At 40.8% G+C, this 25771-nt stretch overlaps 2 protein-coding genes across 17 annotated transcripts in view, besides 4 other annotated features; one reads left to right on the top strand and one right to left on the bottom strand.

Annotated features, from left to right (window-relative positions):
• Positions 1-206: 206 nt before the first annotated feature.
• TATDN3 (TatD DNase domain containing 3) lies at positions 207-25143 on the bottom strand. 12 transcript variants are annotated; one of them, NM_001146171.2, is made up of 10 exons: positions 25050-25143; positions 21910-21942; positions 20447-20520; positions 19841-19925; positions 14274-14336; positions 12608-12717; positions 12386-12441; positions 9189-9301; positions 4709-4810; positions 207-2024 (listed from the first exon to the last, which is right to left on the bottom strand). In NM_001146171.2, exons 1-10 carry the CDS (start codon positions 25113-25115, stop codon positions 1881-1883), a joined length of 846 nt encoding a protein of 281 aa, NP_001139643.1. In that variant the 5' UTR covers positions 25116-25143; the 3' UTR covers positions 207-1880. The 12 variants fall into 12 exon arrangements, with proteins under 12 accessions (NP_001139643.1, NP_001139641.1, NP_001036017.1 ...); NM_001146169.2 differs by having other exon boundaries at positions 207-1990; NM_001042552.3 differs by having other exon boundaries at positions 4709-4789.
• Positions 22082-22131: an enhancer, noted in NCBI's record as "active region_2519". NCBI's record gives its function as "activates an Ori minimal core promoter by ATAC-STARR-seq in GM12878 lymphoblastoid cells {active_cell/tissue: GM12878}" and the evidence as "EXISTENCE:reporter gene assay evidence [ECO:0000049][PMID:35858748]".
• Positions 22420-22920: an enhancer, noted in NCBI's record as "H3K4me1 hESC enhancer chr1:212967459-212967959 (GRCh37/hg19 assembly coordinates)". NCBI's record gives its function as "activates a minimal SCP1, AML or CMV promoter by ChIP-STARR-seq in naive H9 embryonic stem cells {active_cell/tissue: H9 hESC(naive)}" and the evidence as "EXISTENCE:reporter gene assay evidence [ECO:0000049][PMID:30033119]".
• Positions 22472-22541: an enhancer, noted in NCBI's record as "active region_2518". NCBI's record gives its function as "activates an Ori minimal core promoter by ATAC-STARR-seq in GM12878 lymphoblastoid cells {active_cell/tissue: GM12878}" and the evidence as "EXISTENCE:reporter gene assay evidence [ECO:0000049][PMID:35858748]".
• Positions 25055-25334: an enhancer, noted in NCBI's record as "active region_2517". NCBI's record gives its function as "activates an Ori minimal core promoter by ATAC-STARR-seq in GM12878 lymphoblastoid cells {active_cell/tissue: GM12878}" and the evidence as "EXISTENCE:reporter gene assay evidence [ECO:0000049][PMID:35858748]".
• The window catches only part of NSL1 (NSL1 component of MIS12 kinetochore complex), a 65625-nt gene continuing 65113 nt past the window's right edge, over positions 25260-25771 (top strand). For all 5 annotated transcript variants that reach the window (NM_001297736.2, NM_001297739.2, NM_001297737.2 and 2 more), the window contains exon 1: positions 25260-25507. In NM_001297736.2, the coding sequence (NP_001284665.1) occupies positions 25274-25507 (234 nt within the window). In that variant the 5' untranslated portion in view covers positions 25260-25273. The remainder of the gene's footprint in view (positions 25508-25771) is intronic.

The following is a 25771-nucleotide window of genomic DNA, read 5'->3' as shown; positions in this document are numbered from 1 at the left end:
TAGGAGGAGGGGCTTAATAACTGAAACAAACAAATGGATGAATACATGAAGAAAATGGCTAAACAATTTAGAGGGCAAAGATCATGTCTGGCTGGGTGATGAGGCAAGATGAAGTAATTTAACTTGAACCTTAAACGATTTAATGGTAAGAGTCTGACAAAGGGTATGTGTACAGAAGGTAGGAAATAGGGAAAAGAAATACAGAGTTGGAAGAGAGCTTAAAAGTCCAGTTTTAATATAATCTCCTGTTAAATGTAGGAATTTCATTTAAAATGGTGCTGATGAGTCATTAAATACCTCATAAAATACCCTATTCAGTTTCTTAGTCTGGTTTGGACAATCTGACCTAGTTTTGATTCTTCCATAAATGAATTCATTTCAAAATATTTATTGAAGATCATTTCATAAAATCACTTTGATTTAGGAAGTTTATTTTTTTCTATGACAGGTACTTTTTCCAGCATTTTCTGCTTATATAATTTAACAAGATTAAATACCTAAGTTTTGATATTGACCACACCTGTTAAACTACATATACGATTTTTAAAAAATTGTAGTAAATACACATAACATAAAATTTATCCTAATTCGTTATAAGTGTACAGTTCAGTGGCATTAAATACCTTCACATTGATGTGCTACCATCACTACCATCTATCTACAGAACTGTTTTTACACTTGAGATTTTTAATTTTTTTGAGATTTTTATTTATTTACATTTTTAGAGATAGGTGCTCACATCTATGTTGCCCAGGCCTGACTCAAACTCAGGCTTAAAAGGTCTCCCATCTCAGCCTCCTGAGTGGTTGGCACTACAGGTGAATGCCACTGTGCCTGGCTTACACTAACATTTTTAAACTTAAAAATATGAAATATTACTGTTCACAGAGAAATCAGATACATTTTTAATAATGCCATTTACATTCTAAATATGTTGACAAAATTCAGACCAGAACTTACAATTGGTGTATTAACTAAACTTTTGGGCTTGGTATTCAATAATGATTGTTTAAACCACTGGCCTCATAAGTCAAAAATCTAAGATCAGTGTAAAAATCGTATGCATTTTTATCTTAAAGAGAAATAATTCGAAGTACTAAAAGTTCAATTTTACAAACCTAGAAAAGAGATTTCTGACAGCATAGAAAACCAGACATTCTCCCTTCACTGGCTAACTCCTATGGGAAGAAAAATAGGTGGTAAGAACACACTTTAGGCTGGCGCAGTGGCTCATGCCTGTAATCCCAGCACTTTGGGAGGCCGAGGCGGGCGGATCACCTGAGGTCGGGAGTTCGAGACCAGCCTGACCAACATGGAGAAACCCTGTCTCTACTAAAAATACAAAATTAGCTGGGCATGGTGGCACATGCCTGTAATCCCAGCTACTTGGGAGGCTGAGGGAGGAGACTCGCTAGAACCTGGGAAGTGGAGGTTGCAGTGAGCCAAGATCGTGCCATTGCACTCCAGCCTGGGCAACAACAGCGAAACTCCATCAAAAAAAAAAAAAAGTATACTTTAGCTTACTCCATCCTCATCACAGTAGTGCTTATACTCTTCCTGTGGGAGCCACCCTTCCCAGTAGCAATGGTTTCAGTTCAGGTGGTGGTTCTATATAAAAGGGCAATGTAAGAAGTAGCAGTATTTTCCCAATATCCTGCCAGAACTCGGCTAATTGAAAAGCAGCACAAGGCTAGAATCAGAACCCAGGGTTTCAGGATCCAAGCCCAGTTTTATTTCTAAGAGAAATATTTCTCTACAATTACAATCTTCTATAACCCTATAAAACAGCTTCTTCAGTTCAGATTCTTCATCAGAACATTTCTATTTTTCAAATGCTGCCCCCTGCAGTTGATTCGATTTTGTAATGGATGGTTTTGAAGCTATTTCTGGAGCAAGTGTCGGAGCTTAGGAAACAGTTTTAATGCATTCTGTGTCGTCACTTCTATAACTTCTTCCACTGAGATCCCTTTCACCTGGGCAATATATTCTGCTGAAATAGAAATGTTCCAGGGCTCATTCCGTACCTGAAACAAGACAGCAGACACCATGTCAAACATGACACTGAAGGGAAGCAGATCCTTGGAGACTATAGATAGAAGAAAATGAGTTGGTAAAAACAACTGATGGGCTCCTTTTTAATTTTTTTCTTTTTAGGTGGGGATGAGGGCTGGGAGGGAGGTGTGGCTGCAATGTTGATTGTAAATCTGTGCTGCTCCTGAAAAGAACCCTGGGGTATTTACAATTGAAGTCCCTAGCTCCTAGCACATGAAGCAGTCTGCAAACAGTGAACACCTGGTAACCTGCCTGACTAATGGATTAATTGTCCTTTGGTTTGTTGCTTAGGTGAATGCTTGTAAAAGGTCACTGCTCTGCTGCTTGGCCGCCTACCTCACAGGCTACATGACAGTTTGATTCAAGAATTGCCAACATGTATTGGAAAGATGAAATAGATTATGTACTGGCATTTCACTGATTCTAAGATGCATTTCCTCTCCTATTTTAACATCTCTGAAATTGATACAGTATATTTCATTTAGATTCAGTGGTATTTCATAGTATAACTGGCAGTGTTTTTTCTTTCTTAATGGTCATAAAACAATGGTAAACAATGGTGCCTCTACAATCAGTAGCATTTAGATTTTATGAAATAAATTATTATTGTTACTATCAATAAGTATCTACTCAGGATGATAATGTTCAGAAGAATAACATTATTGTTAAAATTTTTAAAATGCACTTTGGTAATGTAGCCCAAAAAAATTAAAAATGGGCATAGAGATTTATGTTAATCATGTTGTTTATAATACAATCTAGATGACCAATAGCAAGTTAAATATGGTAAACTCACATACTGGAATATTATGCAGTTATTAAACATGATGAAGAAAAGTATGTTTATTAATATATACAGAGGTTCAGCCAGGTGCAGTGGCTTACACCTGTAATCTTAGCACTTAGGAAGGCCGAGGTGGGAGGATCACTTGAGCTTAGGAGTTTGAGACCAGCCTGGGCAACATAGTGAGACCTTGTCTCTATTAAAAAAAAAATTAACAAAAAAAATATATATACAGAGGTTTACCACATAAAGATCAGTTATAAAATAATATGTCCAAGTTAATCCTGTTTTTATGAAATATATGTGCACTAAAAATACAAAAATCAGCCGGGCGTGGTGGCACAAGCCTGTAATCCCAGCTACTAGGGAGGCTGAGGCAGGAGAATTGCTTGAATCCAGAAGGCGGAAGTTGCAGTGAGCTGAGATTGCGCCACTGCACTCCAGCCTGGGCGACAGAGCAAGACTCTGTCTCAAAAACAAAACAAAAACAAAAACAAAAACAAGTAGCCAGGCATGGTAGCACATGCCTGATGGAGAATCATCTGAACCCAGAAAGTCGAGGTTGCTGTGATCACGCCACTGCACTATAGCTTGGGTGACAGAGTAGACCCTGTCTCAAAAAAAAAAAAAAAAAGAAAAGAAAGAAAATAAAAATAGAAACATTAATTGAACATCAGTTAGTAAAATTCACATTGCAATCACATATAATCATAGTTTCTGAATAAACGGATAATAATTGCTACTGTTCCCAAACCTCTAAATTTTGAGTGCCAATTCTCTGAATTTGGCAGGCATAGAGACACAGATCTGATGGGTAGTCAAAGGCACTTATTAAACTGCACATTGGGAGGTCATTGTAATAGGTACTGCCTAAAGCAAATAAAGCATATACTGTGGCTTACTTTCAGAAAATTATAATTTAAAATAGTAGCAATATGAAAGAGAGTGAAATTTAAAATATGATTCTTTGTGGCCTACAATAACAAAAAGAGATACTAACAGCAAAGATCATATAAATAAACCCATGATTATATCAATACTTGTATTGAAAGAAATAGAACTTCATTATAACATGCTAATTAAAAGAAGAAAAATGAACACTCATTGAATACCTACTGTATACCAGATACTGCTAGTTACGTTCACATACGTTACTTCATGTAATACTTACCATAATCTTTTCTTTTTTTTTTGAGATGGAGTTTTGCTCTTGTTGCCCAGGCTGGGGTGCAATGGTGCAATCTCGGCTCACTGCAACCTCCACCTCCCGGGTTCAAGCGATTCTCCTGCCTCAGCCTCCCGAGTAGCTGCGATTACAGGCGCATGTGCCACCACGCCCAGCTAATTTTTTTGTATTTTTAGTAGAGACAGGGTTTCTCCATGTTAGTCAAGCTGGTCTCGAACTCCTGACCTCAGGTGATCTGCCCGCCTTGGCCTCCCAGAGTGCTGGGATTACAGGTGTGAGCCACCGTGCCCAGCCCACCATAATCTTTTAATGTATTTATTATTTTACCCATATTTTATAAATGAAAAAGCAGTTTCAGAGAGATTAAGTAGCTTGCCCAAAGTCAGCTACTAGGTAGATAACAGGATTTGAATTTGTCTTTCTGACTGCAGACACTGTGCTTTTTACTACACTGGTCTGACTCTTATTATTACATACATTAGGACATGCTTCATTATCAAATAATATTCTCTGGAGTGCAACAGCTATATTTAGAAAGACCTGAAATAAAGTTAATATAAGCCCTCAATCTGGCAGTATATGAGGATTCCACTGTATTTACACTATAATGAGAAATACAGCTAAATTGAAAAGAACTCAAATGAAAGATACAATCTAAATAATATAGAAATTAGAAAACCATTTACCTGTTTTTCTGGTCCTAGTGCAGGTGAATCTGTTTCTAAGCATATAGAAGTTAAAGGCAATTGTTTCACAAGTTTCTGCTTCTTAGAGAAAAGAGAAAGCAGCTAAGTTTAAAACATGAGAAATAAAGATAAAGAGCATTAAATTGACATACTAATAATGCATTTTATTCTGCAATAACTTAAAATTTATGCTTTAGGCTGGGCGCGGTGGCTCACGCCTGTAATCCCAGCACTTTGGGAGGCCGAGGCGGGTGGATCACGAGGTCAGGAGTTCAAGACCAGCCTGACCAACATGGTGAAACCCCGTCTCTGCTAAAAATACAAAAATTGCCAGGCACAGTGGCTCATGCTTGTAATCCCAGCACTTTGGGAGGCCGAGGCAGACAGAACATAAGGTCAGGAGTTCAAGACTAGCCTGGCCAACATGGTGAAACCCCATCTCTACTGAAAATACAAAAATTAGCCAGGCATGGTGGCAGGCACCTGTAATCCCAGCTACTCAGGAGGCTGAGGAAGAAGAATCACTTGAACCCGGGAGGTGGAGGTTGCAGTGAGCCGAGATCACCCCACTGTACTCCAGACTGGGCAGCAGAGCAAGACTCCATCTCAAAAAAAAAATAATAATAATAATAAAATAAAAATACAAATACAAAAATTAGCCAGGCAAGGTTGCAGTGAGCCGAGATCACGCCACTGTACTCCAGACTGGGCAACAGAGCGAGACTCCGCCTCAAAAAAAAATTATTTTTTACTATTCAACTGATAGGCCGGTTGTGGTAGCTCGCGCCTGTAATCCCAGTACTTTGGGAGGCTGAGGTGGGTGGGTCACTTGAGACCAGGAGTTCGAGACCAGCCTGGGCAACATGATAAAACCCCATCTCTACTGAGAATACAAAAATTAAGCCGGGGTGGTGGCTCATACCTGTCCAGCACTTTGGGAGGCCAAGGCAGGCTGATCACTTGAGATTGGAAGTTCGAGACCAGCCTGACCAACATGGTGAAACCCCGTCTCTACTAAAAATACAAAAATTAGCCGGGCGTAGTGGTGGCTGCCTGTAATCCCAGCTACTCGGGAGGTTGAGGCAGAATCACTTGAACCCGGGAGGCAGAGGTTGCAGTGAGCTGAGATCGCGCCACTGCACTCCAGCCTAGCCAGAGTGGAAAAAAAAAATACAAAAATTAGCCAGGCATTGTGGTACACGCCTGTAATCCCAGGTACTCGGAAGGCTGAGGCAGGAGAATTGCTTGGACCTGGGAGGCGGAGATTGCAGTGAGACAAGATCACATCACTGCACCCCAGCCTGGGCGACAGAGTGAGACTCTGCTTCAAAAAAACAATTCAATTGATAAATGCTAACTGGATGTTCTCATAATTCCACTACTAAAAGTTATGTTAAAATATAAACACTAATTCCTAAAAATTATCCAAAGCTTCTAGGGAAACCAAAGAATAGTAACCATAGCAAAAATGAGGTATACCCAGCAAGCAGAAATCCAAACATCTGGTATCATGTGCCGACATTGACAAGGAAGTGATTTCTGTTGTTTCTCCACCCTCATCACATTCAGTGTTTCTTTCTAACATCCACTTTAAGGCACTCAAAGCTTTATGTTTATAAATCTAAGGGTTTTGTTTGTTTTTGAGACACAGTCTGGCTCTGTCACTCATGTTGGAGTGGAGTGGCACGTACTCGGCTCACTGGACCCTCCATCTCCTGGGCTGAAGACATCCTCCCACCTCAGCCTCCCAAGTAGTTGGGACTATAGGCACACACCACCACACTCGGCTAATTTTTTTTTTTTTTTTTTTTTTTTTTGAGACAGAGTCTCGCTCTGTCACCCAGGCTGGCGTGCAGTGGCGCGATCTCGGCTCACTGCAAGCTCCGCCTCCCGGGTTCACGCCATTCTCCTGCCTCAGCCTCCCAAGTAGCTGGGACTACAGGCGCCCACCACCATGCCCGGCTAATTTTTTGTATTTTTAGTAGAGACGGGGTTTCACCATGTGAGCCAGGATGGTCTTGATCTCCTGACCACGTCGTGATCCACCCGCCTTGGCCTCCCAAAGTGCTGGGATTACATGCGTGAGCCACCGCGCCCTGCCTTCACTCGGCTAATTTTTATATGTTTTGTAGAGACAGGGTTTCGCCATATTGCCTAGGCTGTTCTCAAATTCTTGAGCTCAGGTGATCCGCAACCCTTGGCCTCCCAAAGTGCTGAGGTCACAGATATGAGCCTCCGTGCCTGGCCCAAATCTAAGGTTCTTATGCAATTTAAATTTTATTTTTTTATTAATTAATGTATTTATTTTTGAGATGGAGTCTCTGTCGCCCAGGCTGGAGTGCAGAAGCGCGATCTCAGCTCACTGCAACATCTGCCTCCTGGGTTCAAGTGATTCTCCTGCCTCAGCCTCCTGAGTAGCTGGGATTATAGGCATGCGCCACCACACCCAGCTAATTTTTGTATTTTTAGTAGAGAAGGGGTCTCACCATGTTGGCCAGGCTGGTTTTGAACTCCTAACCTCAGGTGAACTGCCTGCTTTGACCTCCGAAAGTGCTGGGATTACAGGTGTGAGCCACAGTGCCTAGCCCAATTTAAATTTTAGATTGGGTTGTGGATGGTTTTCTTTTTTCTTTTTTTTTTTTTTGAGACGGAGTCTCGCTCTGTCACCCAGGCTGGAGTGCAGTGGCGCGATCTCGGCTCACTGCAGGCTCTGCCCCCCCGGGTTCACGCCATTCTCCTGCCTCAGTCTCCCGAGTAGGTGGGACTACAGGCGCCCACCACCATGCCTGGCTAATTTTTTGTATTTTTAGTAGTGACGGGGCTTCCCCGTGTTAGCCAGGATGGTCTCGATCTCCTGACCTCGTGATCTGCCCGCCTCGGCCTCCCAAAGTGCTGGGATTACAGGCATAAGCCACTGCGCCCGGCCTAGTTTTTAATTTTTAAAGCTATAATTCACATAACCATAATATTCACTCTTTAAAAGTACACAATCCAGTGTTTTTTGCTATATTCACAAAATTGTACAATCATCACCATTATCTAGTTCTGGAATATTTTCATCACTCCAAAAAGAAATCCCATACCCATTAGCTGTCACTCCCTATTATCCTTCCCCTCAAAATTCTGGAAACCACTAATCTATATTGTGTTTATAGATCTGCCTCACCTGGACATTTCACATGAATGGAATAATACAAGATGTGGTTTTTCGTCTGGTTGCTTTCTCTTAGTATAATGTTTTCAAGGTTCATCCATGCTGTAGCATGACTCAGTACTTCATTTCTTTTCATGACTTTATTCCTCTTCATTCCTTTTTATGACTTTATATTCCATTATATGGATATAGCACATTTTATTTATCCATTCATCAGCTGACGGAAATCTAGGTTGTTTCTACTTTTTGGCTATTATGAATAATGCTGCTATAAACATTTATGTACAAGTTTTTGTGTGGACATATGTTTTAATCTCTTTTGGGTATCTACCTAGGGGTGGAATTGCTGGGTCACATGGTAATTTTATTAAGTTTCTAAGGAACTCCAAACTTAGTGGTATGAAGTTGTATCTCTCACTGTACCTTTGATTTCTATTTCCAAAATGGCTAATGAGGTTGAGCGTCTTTTTATGAGCTTATTGGCCATTTGTATGTTTTCTTTAGAGAAATATCTAATTTAAATAATTTGCACATATTTTAATCAGGTTATTTGTCTTTTTATTGAGTTGTAATGGTGCTTTATATATTCTGGATACTAGACCCTTATCAGATACATGGCTTGAAAATATTTTTTATCTTTCTATGGGTTGTATTTTCACTTTTTTGATAATGTGCTTTGAATTATAAGTCTTAAATTTTTTATTGTGAACATTTTAAATTTTGATTATGTCCAATAAATTTGTTTTTTTCTTTGGTTGCTTACGATTTTAATGACCTATCTAAGAAGCCACAGCCTAATCAAGGAGTCACACAAATTAAGGCCTGTTTTCCTCTAAGAATTTTTAGTTTTTTTTTTTTTTTTGAGATGGAGTTTCGCCCTTGTTGACCAGGCTGGAGTGCAATGGCTTGATCTTGGCTCACTGCAACCTCCACCTCCTGGTTCAAGCGATTCTCCTGCCTCACCCTCCCAAGTAGCTGGGATTACAAGCACATGCCACCACGCCCAGCTAATTTTTGTATTTTTAGTAGGGACGGGGTTTCACCATGTTGGCCAGGCTGGTTTCGAACTCCTGGCCTCAGGTGATCTACCCGCTTCAGCCTTCCAAAGTGCTGGGATTACAAGCGTGAGCCCCTGAGCCTGGCCTTATTTGGTTTTATATTTAAGTCTTTGATCAATTTCTGAGTTCATTTTTATATATATGTGAGGTAGAGACCTAAGATTAATTTTTGTAATGTAACTAGAATAGTATCACAAGTATGGAAGAAAAGCTCATGTTTTAAATTTTATTTCATAAGTATTAGATGAGTTTCAATGAAAAAATTTACCTGTCCACTTCTTATGATAGAAGGGGGAATTGAGAAGAAGTACCCAGCTCTTACTCCTTCCATGGCTACAGATGGCCGACCATCAAATGCATGCAGCAGTACCTTCTCAGCACCTTTCAAAAATGAAAGATAAGGCAGTATTCCATTTTATGTCCCATCAATCAAATTAAATAACAGAAGTCTGAAATTTTAAGTAAATGTTGGTCACTAGGATATAAACAAGAGGTTCTATAACTTCTAAAGGGCGGATAAATGTACGGTGTTCAAAGAGTGGAATAAAAATATAGTAAATTTTAGGCCAGGCACAGTGGCTCACACTTGTAATCCCAGAACTTTAGGAGGCCAAGGCAGGCAGATCACTTGAGCCCAGGAGTTCGAAACCAGCCTGGCCAACATGGTGAAACCCCGTCTCTACAAAAAATACAAAATTTAGCTGGGCATGGTGGTGCAGGCCTGTAGTCCCAGCTACTCGGGAAGCTAAGGTGGGAGGATCACCTGAGTCTGAGATGTCAAGGCTGCAGTGAGCTGTGATCGCACCACTGCACTCTAGGCTGGGCATCGGAGTGAGACTCTGTCTCAAAAAATAAACTAATAAAAACATATAGTCCGGGCGCAGTGGCTCACGTCTGTAATCCCAGCACTTTGGGAGGCCGAGGTGGGCGATCACCTGAGGTCAGGAGTTCAAGACAAGCCTGACTAGCATGGTGAAACCCCATCTCTACTAAAAATACAAAAAAATTAGCTGGGCGTAGTGGCAGGCACCTGTAATCCCAGCTACTTGGGAGGCTGAGGCAGGAGAGTCACTTGAACCTGGGAGGCAGAGGTTGCAGTGAGCCAAGATTGTGCCACTGTACTCCAGCCTGGGCGACAGAGTGAGACTCCATCTCAAAAAAAATAAATAAATAAAATAAATAAATATATATATATGTATATATGTGTATATACATATGTATATATGTGTATATACATATGTATATATGTGTATATACATATGTATATATGTGTATATATGTATATATATGTATATATGTGTATATATGTGTATATATGTGTGTGTGTGTGTGTATATATATATATATATATATATATATATATATATATGGAGAGAGAGAGAGAGAGAGAATAAATTCTTAATCTTCAGAATAAAATTGAAATATTCAATAATGTTGGCCAGGCACAGTGGCTCATGTCTGTAATCCCAGCACTCTGGGATGCTGAGATGGGAGGATCTCTTGAGCGAGCTCAGGAGTTTGAGACCAGCCTGGGCAACATGGTGAAACCCAGTTTCTACGAAAAATACACACAAAAGAATTAGCAGGGTGTGGTGGTGTGTGCCCATAGTCCCAGCTACTTGTGGGGCTGAAGTGGGAGGATCTCTTGAGCCCAGGAGGTGGAGGTTGCAGTGAGCAGAGATCGCCCCACTGCAATCCAGCCTGGGCAACAGTGTCAGACCCAGTCTCAAAAAAAAAAAAAAAAAAAAGAGAGAGAGAAATATTCAATTTTAAAGACAAATATAAATTTTCTGCACCATCAGACCTTTTCTAGAAGTCTGTGAGCTAATTGTTTCTAACAGGAGGTTTTTAAGCAGTCAAATGGATTATCTTAACAAAAATGCTAGTGAAAGAAGAAATGGGGAACTAAGTGACACAAACTCAATAGTCAGAGTGGACTTCATAAAACTATCCCCAGTTATTAAAGGGTAGCTGCTCAGCCTGCATAAAAATCATGCTTTCAGTGACTCCAGAACTATTCATCACTGATTTCTAGTTGCAGGCAATTTCATTTACTTTATTATTTGACAGAGTTTTTTCAAATGGTATGAATGACTATTAGACGGTTCTGAACATAAGTGAGTTATGAAACCAACTTAGTTTAGTTTCATAAGCACAACCAATGAGTGCTTATATGTATGTGTGTATGTAGCACACACTTACATACCTATACGTACACACACATATGTGGATTGCTTGTTAAACTTTTGTTAGCTTTCTTTATGTAAATATGAGTCTCAAAATAAACTATATTTCTTACTGCGGATGGCACCTTTAAAATATTGAAAAATAATGCCATAAGATGTAATTTTACTTTAGGAACAACTGGCAAAGAAGAGAGTGTGTATGTATGATGGCCAAAATCTGTATTTCTGCATTTCTGTAAATTCTGCATTTCTGAAGTAGCAGCTATAAAACATAAAAAAACAGTGACGCAATGTGATTGCTGTGATTGCCCTTCTTTTTTTTAACCTTTTCCCCATTAATCAGCTGATTGAGCTGATTAAGAAACTGGAGCTGCTGGCCAGGCACAGTCGCTCACGCCTGTAATCCCAGCACTTTGGGAGGCCGAGGCGTGTGGATCACCTGAGGTCAGGAGTTCAAGACCAGCCTGGCCAACATCGTGAAACCCCATCTCTACTAAAAATACAAAAATTAGCTGGGTGTGGTGGCACGCACCTGTAATGCTAGCTACTTGGGATGCTGAAGCAGAAGAATAGCTTGAACCCAGGAGGTGGAGGTTGCAGTGAGCCAAGATTGCGCCACTGCACTCCAGCCTGGGCAACAGAGTGAGACTGTGTCTCAAAAAATAAAATAGGGTGGGCACGGTGGCTCATCCTGTAATCTCAGCACTTTGGCAGGCTGAGGCGGGTGGATCACTTGAGGTCAGGAGTTCGAGACCAGCCTGGCCAACATGGCAAAACCCCAGCTCTACTAAAAATATAAAAATTAGCTGGATGTGATAGTGGGTGCCTGTAATCTCAGCTACATGGGAGGCTGAGGCAGGATAATTGCTTGAACCCAGGAGGCAGAGGTTGCAGTGAGCTGAGATTGTGCCACTGCATTCCAGCCTGGGCAACAGAGTGAGACTCCGTCTCAAAAAATAAATAAATAAATAAAAGAAACTGGAGCTGCTAATTTTGTTTTGTTTTGTTTTTTATGAAGCTGCTAATTTTTAAATTAAGGGACATAAATTATTGTATTCAACTTTTCATTTACTCTATCTGGGCCTGGGAAATATCATAATTACACTGAAAACCTTGTAAACAATAGCCTGACCTGCAACATCATCTTAGATGATTTCTGCCCCCCTTCTTGCCCCTGCCCTTCAAGAAATCAGATTAAAACATGGCTTGCTTTATGAGAACATAAACTGGAATTGTCAAACTTGAACATTAGGCCTATTTTTCTCAGGAAACGAAATACCTTGCTCTTGTAAAAGGTTGATGGTAGGTCTTCCAGCAGAGCGTGAGTGCACATTTCTGTTTAACGATAACAACATTTCTTTTAAGTACCATTCTGAAAGTATTGTTTTTGATCTATTAAAGTAGTTTGGAGAAAAATAAATGTAGAGTTCCATTTCAGGAGAACTCTGATCATTATTTAATTTGCTCTATAGCTATTAACATAGGAAAATAATTAACCTACACAGGCAAATTTAGTCTTTTGGCTAACTGGATCTGTCTGATTAGGACTTGTCTTTGCTCTTCCTTCTGTTCACCAGTGCCAGCAAATCTGGGGGAGAAATCTAGTCCAACCTAGAGCAGAAAAATAAAAGATATTACATATTTAGGTTTAAGGAACCTCAAAAGAGATCTTTGGATTGATGCTATCCAATAGAAATATATAATGTGAGGCACAAAAGCAAGCCACATAAAAATATTAATTCTAGTAGCCACATTAAAAATATTCACAAAAACAGGTGAAATCAATCTTAATAATATACTTTAACCCAATATATCCCAAATATTATTATTTTAAACATGTAGCCAATATAAAATATTGAGTTATTTTATATTCCTTTTTTTTTGTTTGTTTTGTTGAGACGGAGTGTGGCTCTGTTGCCCAGGATGGAGTGCAGTGGCGTGATCTCGGCTCACTTCAACCTCTGCCTCCTGGGTTCAGGCGATTCTCTTGCCTCAGCTTCCTGAGTAGCTGGGATTACAGGTGCCTGCTACCACGCCCGGCTAATTTTTGTGTTTTTAGTAGAGACAAGGTTTTACCATGTTGGTCAGGCTGGTCTCAAATTCCTGACCTCAAGTGATCAGCCCGCCTTAGCCTCCCAAGGTGCTGGGATTACAGGTGTGAACCACTGTGCCCAGCCTTTTTTTTTTTTCTTTTTGGTACTAAAACTTTGAAATACACAGTGTATTTTACACTTACAACACATCTTAATTCAGAGCAGTCACATTTCAAATGCTCAGAAGCCGTTAAGTGGCCACTATATTGGACGGCACAGACTATAGATGACTCCTCCTGGGACTATTTTGGCATGCATTCTATAATCTATATTCTGAATTTAAGTGTTATTCTTATCTTTTGTCTCTAATTAAAAATGGAATTTATTACCAAGTAATAAAAATATTTCACAATTGGCCGGGCACGATTGCTCAAGCCTGTAATCCCAGCACTTTGGGAGGCGAAGGTGGGTGGATTACTTGAGGCCAGGTGTCCAAGACCAGCCTGGCCAACATGGTGAAACCCCGTCTCTACTAAAAATACAAAAAAATTAGCTGGGTTGGTGGTGCATGCCTGTAATCCCAGCTAGTAGGGAGGCTGAGGCAGGAGAACCACTTGAACCTGGGAGGCAGAGGTTGCAGTGAGCCGAGATTGCGCCACTGCACTCCAGCTGGGATTGTACCACTGTACTCCAGCCTAGGTGACAGAGCAAGGTTCTGTCTCAAAAAAAAAAAAAAAAATTCACAATTATAAATTATTTAAATAAAAAAGTTCTTTAATTACAAACTCTAGCCCATTTAAAGTGTGTTTCTAAATTACTTATGAAGAATTATAGATACTATATTAACTCACCAGAGCAAGGACCCATATTTAAGCATAAGAAAAAAAAAGCAAAGTATTTAGAAATGCTATTATTTTTCTCCAATTAAGGTAGGCCTATGGTAAGGCTTTTGATTGTTTCATCCCCAAGCTTTCTTGCTTATTAAAGAAGTATCAACGAATTATTATTTGGCTAAGTGGGGTGAACATAATTATACAAGTCAGTTATAATCACCAATACTGAACTAAAGATTATTTTCATATATCATATAGAAGTCTGAATTAGAAGCTGTTTGATCAGTTAGTGGGTGTTTACCTCTCCAATTGCCAACAACCGATCCTTATAATTCTCAATAATGGGCAAAGCTACATCCAAATCCTGGGAGAAAAAAAGTAAAATTGTTAAAATGGAAGAAAGGAACTGCTATTTCACAAGCTCCTATTATGTGCTAGGTGCTATGCCATCCTGGTGCTTTACATACATTTAATCCATTTAAGCAGTCAAAAAACTACCAATAGTAATCCTTCTAAAATGGTGAGTACCTCTACCTGTAAGTTTGAGTAGAAACATATCCCATACCCATTCGGGTTACAAGAATATGACTTTTTATGAAGAGCGCCACTTAAACATGGCCTTCTGTTTGGGAGGTATTTCCTGACATTTAGGAGGCATTTGGACATTCTGAAATCACTAAGAAAAAGAGAGGCAAACCACCAGGGAGTCATCTCTGCATGTGAGCTTTGCGATTGCATTGTTGTGTTCTCCCCTTAGAATTCGTCTGGTTGGTGAGTTTATAATGATAATCCCATACTTCCTTTGCACTGTTTTCACTGATTTCATTTGTCTTTATAGCCCTGCTTTGACTACTTGTTCTAGATGCCCAGCAATATAAACAATGAGTATCTCATATATGCTTGTTAAATATTGAAGTAGCTGTGTACCATTAGTTTCAATGATATTACCTTTTCCACTGAGGAGAATTTGCCCTGTAGGGTTCCCTTCTTAGGCAGGGAAAATAAATATATGGAAAATTGCTTCTAGATACCTTTTAGACTACATTGCAAATTTTAGTTTCAGGATATATAAATTGCAAAGCATTTCTCCTGAGGATAATCAGAACAAGAGAGAATTAAGAAAAGGAAGGTAAAGCAGATGATAGAGGAACAGGAGTAGATTTTACAACTATGAGAGAGAGAGAACAAAGATGAAGGAGGGTAAGTTAAGGCCTTGAAATATATTCTAGTAGACTTGAAATATATTCTAGTAGACTTGAAATATATTCTAGTAGACTGGAAGAAGAATTAACATTGTCATGAAAAATGATGGGTATATGACCCTAGATGTCAGAAAAGCTATTTGACAACAAGCTGAGTAGGTTAAACAGTTCCAGGCAAAGCTTTTTCCATATCACACATCCAAACTACTGTATGTCTCTGAGATCTCAGAGGGACTGGAGAAGTAGGAGAAATCACCCAGGAAATGTCTAACACTTAGAAAGCCTGAGTCACAGAAATTACACAGTTGGAGGAAGATCAGATGAAGAAAAAACCATGCCTCTTGGAATATGTATTACCTATGAAAAAGCAAAACAGATTTACAGTGAGACTATTCAAACTCCTAATAAAATAGATCTGGAAGCTTTCAGCAAGTCAAGAATGATAAGTAGAAATTAATAGTAGAATATAATTCATATTACTTATTTAATATGTACAAATTTATTTGTGTGTGTGGTCTTTGTCATTTTATTTTAGTAGATGTAAACATATTTATAAGGCTATTTACAGGTCTATTTCTGCCCTCAGTTCTATCCCCACTCCCTTCATAAGGTCTCAAGTTCCTTAACAGCTAATGGTTCTATTATACTTTTGTGTTTTTGTTTTTTTTTTAAAGATAGGGTCTCAGTTTGTGACCCAGGCTGGAGTGTGCAGTGGTGCGATCATAGCTCACTGCAGCCTTGAACTCCTGGGCTCAAGTGATTCTCCCATCTCAGCCTCTCGAGTAGCTGGGACTATAGGCACATGCCACCATGCCTGGCTAACATTTTAAATTTTTGTGTATGTTGCCTAGGCTGGTCTCCAACTTCTGGCCTCAAGCAATCTTCCCACCTCAGCCTCCCAAAGTGATGGGATTACAGGAGTCAGCCATGGCACCCCACCCTATTACGGTTTTTGTAAAAAAAAAAAAAAAAGATTACATACCCCTATACCTTATGATTGGGCATAATACTACTATATAATTATTCATTATTTACAAATGAGGAAATCAGACTTGGCAAAGGTAAGTAATGTGCCACAGATCACAGAAGTCAGTAGGCCAGGTCCCTCTGACTTCAAAGCTCATGCATGCTGTTTCCACCATGCTGCTGAAAGAAGAAAGGAAGAAGGGACAAAAAAGGGAATGAATGAAAGAAGGAAGGAGGGCAAAAGGGATCAAAGGAGGAGAAGAGATTTATTCAGAATGATTTTAAATAATTACAATAGATTTTTTTATTATAGAAAATGTTTAGTCTTCAGAACCTTTAGAACAGGGGTCAAGTGTTTAACAGAAATTAGTAAAGTGGAACAAGTAGAAACAGTAGCTAACTGGAGAGCAAATACCCTCCATGCAGGGGCAGCAGAATGCCGCCAGTGAATTGTATTATGGCGCCACTGCACTCCAGCCTGGGTGACAGAGCAAGATTCTATCTCAAAAAAAAAAAAAAAAAGAAGTACCTATCATACTGTTGGCATATTAATTACTTTGGTAAGTTAACCAGTCCAATCAATTCTATATTAATGCCAAATATATGCCAAATCCACCCATTTCTCTACCTCCAATGCTAGTACTCTGGTCCCGTCCAGCATCATTTGTTCACCACAGTTCATTGTGGTTTATCCCCAGTGCCTAAACTGTGCCTGGTAATAGTATTTATTGAATGAATTAATTAATTCAGGAATATGTTAAAAGGTTTGTGTGATACTAGGTAATTCATCTTATAAAACAAGTTAATTTGATGAATACTTACTACATACCTAGCTTTGTACCACATATTTTAGAAGCCTGTAAAGGTGCAATGAGGCATACTTCCTGTTTTAAAGGGGTTTATAATCTAATCAGCAGGAGAAAACTAAACTGCAGTATGGACTACAAGTGCAACTGGAATAAAATAGGGCTAACTCTGCTCATCTCTAGTCTATTCCAGAGTATTATCACAACATTTGATAAGTTCATATCTGCTTTGATAATCAAGAATTACCTATTGGCCGGGTGTGGTGGCTCACACCTATAATCCCAGCACTTTGGGAGGCCAAGGCAGGTGGATCACTTGAGGCCAGGAGTTTGAGACCAGCCTGGCCAACATGGCAAAACCCCAACTCTACTAAAAATACAAAAAATTAGCCGGGTGTAGTGGTGCATGCCTGTAATCCCAGCTACTCAGGAGGCTGAGGCACGAGAATCACTTGAACCAGGGAGGCGGAGGCTGCAGTGAGCCGAGATGGCGCCACTGCACTGCAGCCTGGGTGACAGAGCAAGATTCTATCTCAAAAAAAAAAAAAAAAGAAGTACCTATCATACTGTTGGCATATTAATTACTTTGGTAAGTTAACCAGTCCAATCAATTCTATATTAATGCCAAATATATGCCAAATCCACCCATTTCTCTACCTCCAATGCTAGTACTCTGGTCCCATCCAGCATCATTTGTAGCCTTCTAACTTTTTCCCCTTTTCATTTTTTACCCTCTTCAAAACTCACTCTTCATACCTTAGCCAAGGGGTTTTTTTTCTTCACCAAACTCATTTTGGCCAGAGCCAAGAGGATCTTTTTAAAACATAAATTACGTCTTGGTACTTCTCACATTAAACCCTCCACTGCATGTAAACTAAAATCCAACAAGGTCCTGTATGAGATCTCCACCCATCCCTCTTACCCCATCACTATCACTTCCTCTCTTTCTCTAGCCATATGAGCCCTCTTTCTGTTTCTTGACTACACTGAGCTTATTCCTACCTTGGGACCTTTGTGCTTTGCTGTTTCCTTTGCACATAACACCCTGATCCTCTCTTTGCATGGCCAGTTCCTTTGTAGCATTCAGGTTGCAGCTCAATTGTCACTACCAGAGTCCTTCCTTGATGATATCATCTAACAATCAGCATTCACAACACCTACTATATAATCTTGTTTTACTGTCTTCAAAGCACTTAGTGCTATCGAAAGTTTTCCTGCTCATGTAATTGTTGACTGTCTGTCTGGGCCATCTAGAATCTAGCTTCCATGAGCAGGATCTTACTCATTATTGGGTCTGCAGTGCTGACAGCAGTGCCTGGCATGTAGCAGGTGCTCAGTACACACTGGTTGACTACCTAACTAAATGAATGTCTATTAGTATAAATCCCCACATAAATGAAAGAAGTGCTGCCTTGCTATGATTCCACATTTGTAGAATTGTGATTGGCAATGTAGCTAATTTTATCATACTTAACAATTCAGGATAGCTACAGGATAAGCATTTTTACCTGAAATGAATGAATTTTCTTTTCTTTTTTTTTTTTTTTTTTTTTTGAGTTTTTGAGAGATAGCGTCCATGTTGCCCAGGCTGGTCTTGAACTCCTGAGCTCAAGTGGTCCTCCCATCTCGGCCTCCCAAAGTGTTAGGATTACAGGTGTGAGCCACCATGCCTGGTCATGAATTTTATTTTGAAATAAGTAGAGCTAGCTACCTAAGGTATCTTAATATAGGAAGAGAGATACATTATTATTATTATTTTTTTTTTGAGATGGAGTCTCACTCTGTCACCCAGGCTGGAGTGCACTGGAGCAATCTCAGCTTACTACAATCTTCGCCTCCTGGGTTCAAACGATTCTCCCACCTTAGTCTCCCGAGTAGCTGGGACTACAGGTGCACGCCACCACACCTGGATAAGTTTTTGTATTTTTAGTACAGACAGGGTTTCACCATGTTAGCCAGGAAGGTCTCAATCTCCTGACCTCATGATCCACCCACCTCAGCCTACCAAAGTGCTGGGATTACAGGCACGAGCCACTGTGTCCAGCCTACATTATTATTTTTTAAATGGCACTATATCTTAATTTATTCATAGGTAACAAAAAGTCATTACTTCTTTGAAATGGGGCTATCAAACCCATTATGCAATAAAACACTCATGAAACTGTGGATCTTCCTGATGCTGAGTCAGGAGACAAGTGTGAAATATAAGACATACCAACTATCGTGAGTCAGTGCGGGTAGGATGTTTTTAGAGAGGGTACAAAATCAGTGCAATTTAATAGCTGGAGAGCAATCCTGTAACAATGGTTCTATGTTCAAAGATAATACTACTTACTTGAACTAATCTGTTCCCTAATAGTATATGGCACCTCTGAATTTGTATCTTTCTTTTTCTAGATATTCTATCACTTTTTTGCCAAAGCAACATGACTACAGTACCAAAAAAATGTGAAAAAAGTTACAGATAATTCTAACAGATCATCACAATTACTATCATTTCTGTGTTTTCTCTGCAGTCTTTTCCTTATGAATATATGCTTATGTAGATGTCACTCATAGTGAATATGCTATTTGGTATCCTGCTTTTCTCCCTATATTATACAGTAAGTATTTTCCATGTGCTATAATACTTTATAATCCTCATTTTCTATAAATGCATTATATTTAACACTCTACAACTTAACTAATGATTCCTTTGTTTCTGAACCTCTAGGCTGTTTCTACTTTTTCTCTATTACGAATAATGTTGCAACAAACATCTTTGTTAAAGAAGGTAATGTTTCCTTCTTTTGGATTATTTCCTGAGAATATAAATTAGAAAGAGGAGGATTACTGAGTCAAATAATTCTTTCGTTTGTTTGTTTTTAATGGTTCCTGTTTTGTATGACTGTTACCTTTAGTGTGACACTTCTTTGGTCTTCTGGTGGAAGTCCTTGAACTGGATGAACACCCAAGCATGGCAGGACAAACCCATTATACCTAAAAATGTAGAACCAACTGAGAAAGCAGGAACAGTAGACTAGTAGATTACAACGTATTCTAAAGAATAAGTAGAGGTCGGGCATGGTGGCTTATGTCTGTAATTCCAGCACTTTGGGAGGCTGAACCAGGTGGATCACTTAAGGCCAGGAGTTTGAGACCAGCCTGGCCAACATGGTGAAATCCTGTATCTACAAAAAATATAAAAATTAGCCAGGCCTGGTGGTGCATGCTTTAGACCCAGCTACTTGGGAGGCTGAGGCAGAGAATTGCTTGAAACCAGGAGGCAGAGGTTGCAGTGAGCCAACATTGCGCCACTGCACTCCAGCTTGGGTGACAGAGCAAGACTCCATCTCTCAAAGAAAAAAAAAAGGAATAAGTAGAAAATAATCTCTTTAGGGCTATGTTAAAATGCTTTTTCCTCTTTATTCTCTTTAAAAATGGATCTTTGATATTATAAACTGGATGTCATAACTGTGTTCTTATTAGCAACCCTTTAAAATCTTAATTAAAAGTAGCACCTTTCTGAAAGTTGCATAATCTTTTCAAATTCTCCTGAATGTTCGGCAACTGCCACAAGGGCCACAACATTGGCCTGAAAAAAAAAAAAAGAATAAAGTTACAAACAATATACATTTAATATAAATTATAGAAAATTTTAAAGTTTTCTCTGCATTTTAGTTATCCTTGTTCAGCCATGCTTCATCAATACAATCAGAAGGGCTATCATTGAGTATTTACTATGTTTCAGACCTTATGTTCAGTGAATATAAATATTGCCTCATTTAATTTACAGAAACCTATAAAGTAGGCTATAGTCTACTGTATAGATCAGGAGACAGAGTTTTGGATGTCGAATAACTTGCCCAAGGTCATCAGGTCTATATATGTCCAAAGCCCACATTCCTAATTAAGCTGCCACAGTGAAAGTTACCTGTATGTAAAAATGCACTACAACCATTTCTGGCTGTATCATTTTTTGAGATGGCCACAAAATGCTAGTTACAATGAATTTCATAAACACTTCCAAAAAAATAATTTTTCTAAGCAAATCAAAACATCTCAGAAAACTTTAATAATATATCCCAGATCTCCAGAACCACATGAATTTAAAAACTGAAAGATGGACCAATTTGTTCCATAGGGCTGTTGAGCATGGTAGCTATAGGAACATGTTTTGAATTCAGACTAACTTGTCTCTATCAGTTCACTAGCATGTGTCTTTGGACCAGTTACTCATCTCTAGGCCTTAGATTCCTCATCTATAAAAATGGGGAATGATTGGCTATAAATTAGTAATTTCCTCAGAAGGCTATTGTGAAACATTGAATGAGGTAAAGTCGAGAAAGGCCTTAGCTCACTACCTGGCATGTAGCAAACACTTAATAAATGCTACTTAGGCTGGGAGCAGTGCCGCATGCCTATAATCCCAGCATTTTGGGAGCCCAAGGTGGGTAGATTGCTTGAGCTCAGAAGTTTGACACCAGCCTGGGCAATATAGTCAGATCTTGTCTCTATTTTAATTATAAATAATAAAAATTGGCTGGTCGTAGTGGGTCACGCCTGCAATCTCAGCACTTTGGGAGGTCGAGGTGGGCAGATCACCTCAGGTCAGGAGTTCAAGACCAGCCTGGCCAACATGGTGAAACCCTGTCTCTACTAAAAATACAAAAATTATCTGGGTGCAGTGACGTGTGCCTATAGTCCCAGCTACTCAGGAGGCTGAGGCAGGAGAATCACTTGAACCTTGGAGGCAGAGGTTGCAGTGAGCTAAGATCACACGACTGCACTCCAGCCTGGGCGACAGAGCGAGACTCTGTCTCAATAAATAAATAAATAAATAAATAAAATAATAAAAATAAAAAATGCTACTTACTATAAACTACTGAAACATCAAGGTAGTATATCTAAATTTCAAGCTGTTTTGGCTTGAAATGATAGTTAAAATAAAAAACCAAAAGAGCAATTACAAATATTGACTTACCTTCTTGGCTTTCTCCAACACATCATCCAAATCCTAAAACAAGCATAAGAAATCACCATTATTTTAGATGAATAAGCAGCTAATCTTGGACTGTATATGTCAATGTAGTTGTGGCATCACAAAAAATAACAATGATAGCAACTAATGGAGTGGTGGAAAACAAAGAGCCTACACTGACCCACTTCCTGTTTACTCTTACTATCAGTAAAGTCTGGCTACTGTTCCCAGCACTAAAACAGAAGCCTCTATTGTCAAATATACAGGGTATTTCTCTGTCCTCATCTTACTCTACTCCTCAGCAGCATTCGGAATCCCTCACTTGCTTACTCCTTCCTTCTTGAAATGCTTTCCACCCTTCACTTCTGCAATACCACTCTCTCATTGGTGGCTACTTGTCAGTCTCCTTGACTAGCTCCCCTTCCTCTTTCAGACTTCAAGAACATCTGCTCCTCTCTCTGCACTTGCCTTGAGTGATTTCACTTCCTCTCATGGTTTTATCATCATTATGCTGAGGCCCCCATTTTTTTTCTTTTTTTTGAGATGAAGTTTCACTCTTGTCTCCCAGCTGTAGTGCAATGGTGCGATCTCGGCTCATTGCCACCTCTGCCACCCGGGTTCAAGTGATTCTCCTGCTTCAGCCTCCAGAGTAGCTGGGATTACAGGTGACCGCCACCACACTCAGCTAAATTTTGTATTTTTAGTAGAGATGGTGTTTCACCATGTTGGCCAAGCTGGTCTTTAACTCCTGATCTCAGGTGACCCACCCACCTTGGCCTCCCAAAGTGCTGGGACTACAGGTGTGAGCCATCGAACCCAGCCTGAGTCCCCAATTTTTTTTTTTTTTTTTGAGATGGAGTCTCGCTCTGTCACCCAGGCTGGAGTGCAGTGTCACGATCTCGGCTCACTGCAAGCTCCGCCTCCCGGGTTCACACCATTCTCCTGCCTCAGCCTCCCAAGTAGCTGGGACTACAGGCACATGCTGCCATGCCCAGCTAATTTTTTTGTACTTTTAGTAGCGACAGGGTTTCACCATGTTAGCCAGGATGGTCTCGATCTCCTAACCTTATGATCTGCCCACCTCGGCCTCCCAAAGTGCTGAGATTACAGGCATGAGCCACTGCGCCCGGCCCCCAATTTTTATCTTTAGCTTGTAATTCTCTCCTGAGCCCATGACTCATGTTTAAAAATTATGACATCTTCATTTGGATGGGATTAGGTTTCCCAATATGCCCCAAACATAAATCTTTATTTTCTCCCCACAAACCTATTCCTTCTGCTGACCTCCCCACCTCCACCTCAGACCTTGGTCTTCCCTTATCTCAGTAAACCAGCACCACCATCTTCCCTATAGCACAAGCTAATAATCTGAGTCATCCTTGACTCCTCCCTTTCCCTTGCTATCCACATCCAATTCTTCAGTACTTACTGTGGATTCTCTCTCTAAAATGTATCTTGAATCCATGTATTCATCTCAAACTCACCTGCTATCATCATAGTACCAACAGCCAACATCTCTTGCCTATATACTGCAAAAGCCTCCTAACTAGTCTTGTAGCTTCCACTCTTCTCCTCCACCCATTTGCCATACAGCAGCAAAATGGTGTTAAAATGGATAGCATCATGCCTATCCATTTTTGTGTAATCCCAGGACTTTGGGAGGCCAAGGAGGGTTGATCACTTGAGGCCAGAAGTTCAAGACCAGCCTGGACAACATGGCAAAACTCTGTCTCTATTAAAAATACAAAAAATTAGCCAGGCGTGGTGGGACACACCTGTGATCCCAGCTACTTGGGAGGCTGAGACAGGAGAATTTTTTGAGCCCAGGAGGTGGAGGTTGCAATGACCTGAGATCATGCTATTGCATTTCAGCCTGAGGGACACAGCCAGACTCAATCTAAAAAAATAAAAAAATGAAAATAAATTTTAAAAAAGCCCTTTAATGAATCTGCATTGTGCTTCAAATGCAATCCAAATTCCTTACTGACCCACCTCATCTATCCCCTGCAAACCTCCCCAGTTTTGTTTCATGCCTTTCTCTTTCTAGCTCATCAGGCTCCACTTAGCTTTTTGGCAACTGAAATGTGCCAAATTCTAGCTTGTCTGGGGGCCTGCAACCTATCTGTTTCCCTAACCAGCATACACTCACCCCCTTGCTTGGGTGGCTCCTTGTCTTTTCAGCCTTAAGTGTCAGCTCCTGGGAGGATTTCCCCCTGAAATAAAACCCCCCTTAATCCTCTATTATTAGTCTCTAGTTTCCCACGTAATGGGTAAAACAGTTTGTAACTGATTTTACGTGTGTATTATTATTTTAATTGAGACGGGGTCTCACCACATTGCCCAGGCTGGTCTCAAACTCCTGGGCTCAAGCGATCCACCCACTTCGGCCTCTCATAGTGCTAGGATTACAAGTGTGAGCAACCACACTCGGCCATGTATTTTTGTTTGTTTGTTTGCCTCTCTCCCCCATTTGTGAATTTTTTTTTTTTTTTTTTTTTGAGACAGGGTCTCACTGTTACCCAGGCTGGAGTGCAGTGGCTTGATGTCAGCTCACTGCAACCTCCACCTCCTGGGCTCCAGCGATTCTCCCACCTCAGCCTCCCGAGTAGCTGGGACCACAGGCAAACGCCACAATCACCGGCTTTTTTTTTTTTTTTGTAGGGACGAGGTTTCACCATGTTGCCCAGGCTGGTCACGATCTCCTGGACACAGGAGATGCGCAGCGCCCGCCTCGGCCTCCCAAAGTGCTGGGATTACGGGCGTGAGCCCGCGCCCGACCTCTCCCCGATTTGAACGCGTTTCGAGGACCGCTTCCCACAAAGAGTGGCATCTCAGCCAGGAGGTGAGAGCCCCGAGGGGAAAAACAGGCCAGCCAAGGGGAGTGAGGGAACGATTCCAGGAACTCAGAAGAGCAAACAAAAGCCTTGTGGAGATAGCTTACCGCTACTGAATCAGGAAAAAAAAATCGGTATGTCTGAGGTTAAATAGGGAATAGGGAAATGAGGGGCAAGGTCATATGGCCATAAACAAGGGTCTGGGCGGGGGATATGGGGTTTCGTCCCAAGGGAGGAGAGCAAAGATAACACGAGGGGAAAGGACGGGGGCCTCCCTGCTCCCTCTGGTCCCGTATCGCCCTCACATACGCGGTCAAAGTCCGGGGCGGAGAGGTGGCAGTGACAGTCCACCAAGCCTACGCCAGCCGCTCGCATTGCGCCCCGGCGGCTGCCGCTTTAGACCGGCCAGCAGAGCCGGAGCCGGAACGTTTCAGCTGCAGCGTCCTGAGTTTCCAGCCGGATGCATGCTGGTTACACCAGTGTGAACCCGCTTTTCCGCTCCCAGAGTGCCCCGCCCACAGTTCCGACGAAAAATGGCGGGGTCTCCTGAGTTGGTGGTCCTTGACCCTCCATGGGACAAGGAGCTCGCGGCTGGCACAGAGAGCCAGGCCTTGGTCTCCGCCACTCCCCGAGAAGACTTTCGGGTGCGCTGCACCTCGAAGCGGGCTGTGACCGAAATGCTACAACTGTGCGGCCGCTTCGTGCAAAAGCTCGGGGACGCTCTGCCGGAGGAGATTCGGGAGCCCGCTCTGCGAGATGCGCAGTGGGTACGGGACCAGTTAGCCAGTTCTTTACTCATCATCCTCTTACCCAACACCCAGGATCTTAGGATTCAGAAAGATCCCACGCCAGGCCTTGGCAGAATTAACGGTGCCCCAGGCTACTGTAGAACCAGTTCGAGAAACGCTAGAGGAGAAAGAAATAGATGCTAATGTCAGCTGGGTCTTATTAATTACTTAGACCAGCGCTGTCCAGTGAAAATACAAGGCAAGCTAATCTTTATGTAGTTTTAAACTAAAAGTAAGAAATAG

This window comes from Homo sapiens, chromosome 1, assembly GCF_000001405.40.
Source record: "Homo sapiens chromosome 1, GRCh38.p14 Primary Assembly".
Classification (NCBI taxonomy): Eukaryota; Metazoa; Chordata; class Mammalia; order Primates; family Hominidae; genus Homo; species Homo sapiens.
This window is presented reverse-complemented; position numbering and strand designations above follow the sequence as displayed.

Coding starts and splice junctions, on each gene's coding strand:
- TATDN3 (NM_001146171.2), bottom strand. CDS start 25,115: ATGCGAGCGGCTGGCGTAGGCTTGGTGGACTGTCACTGCCACCTCTCC. Junction 21,943..25,049: donor CCGCCCCGGACTTTGACCGC/GTATGTGAGGGC, acceptor TGCTTGTTTTAG/GATTTGGATGATGTGTTGGA. Junction 9,302..12,385: donor CAACCTTTTACAAGAGCAAG/GTATTTCGTTTC, acceptor CATTTTTGAAAG/GTGCTGAGAAGGTACTGCTG.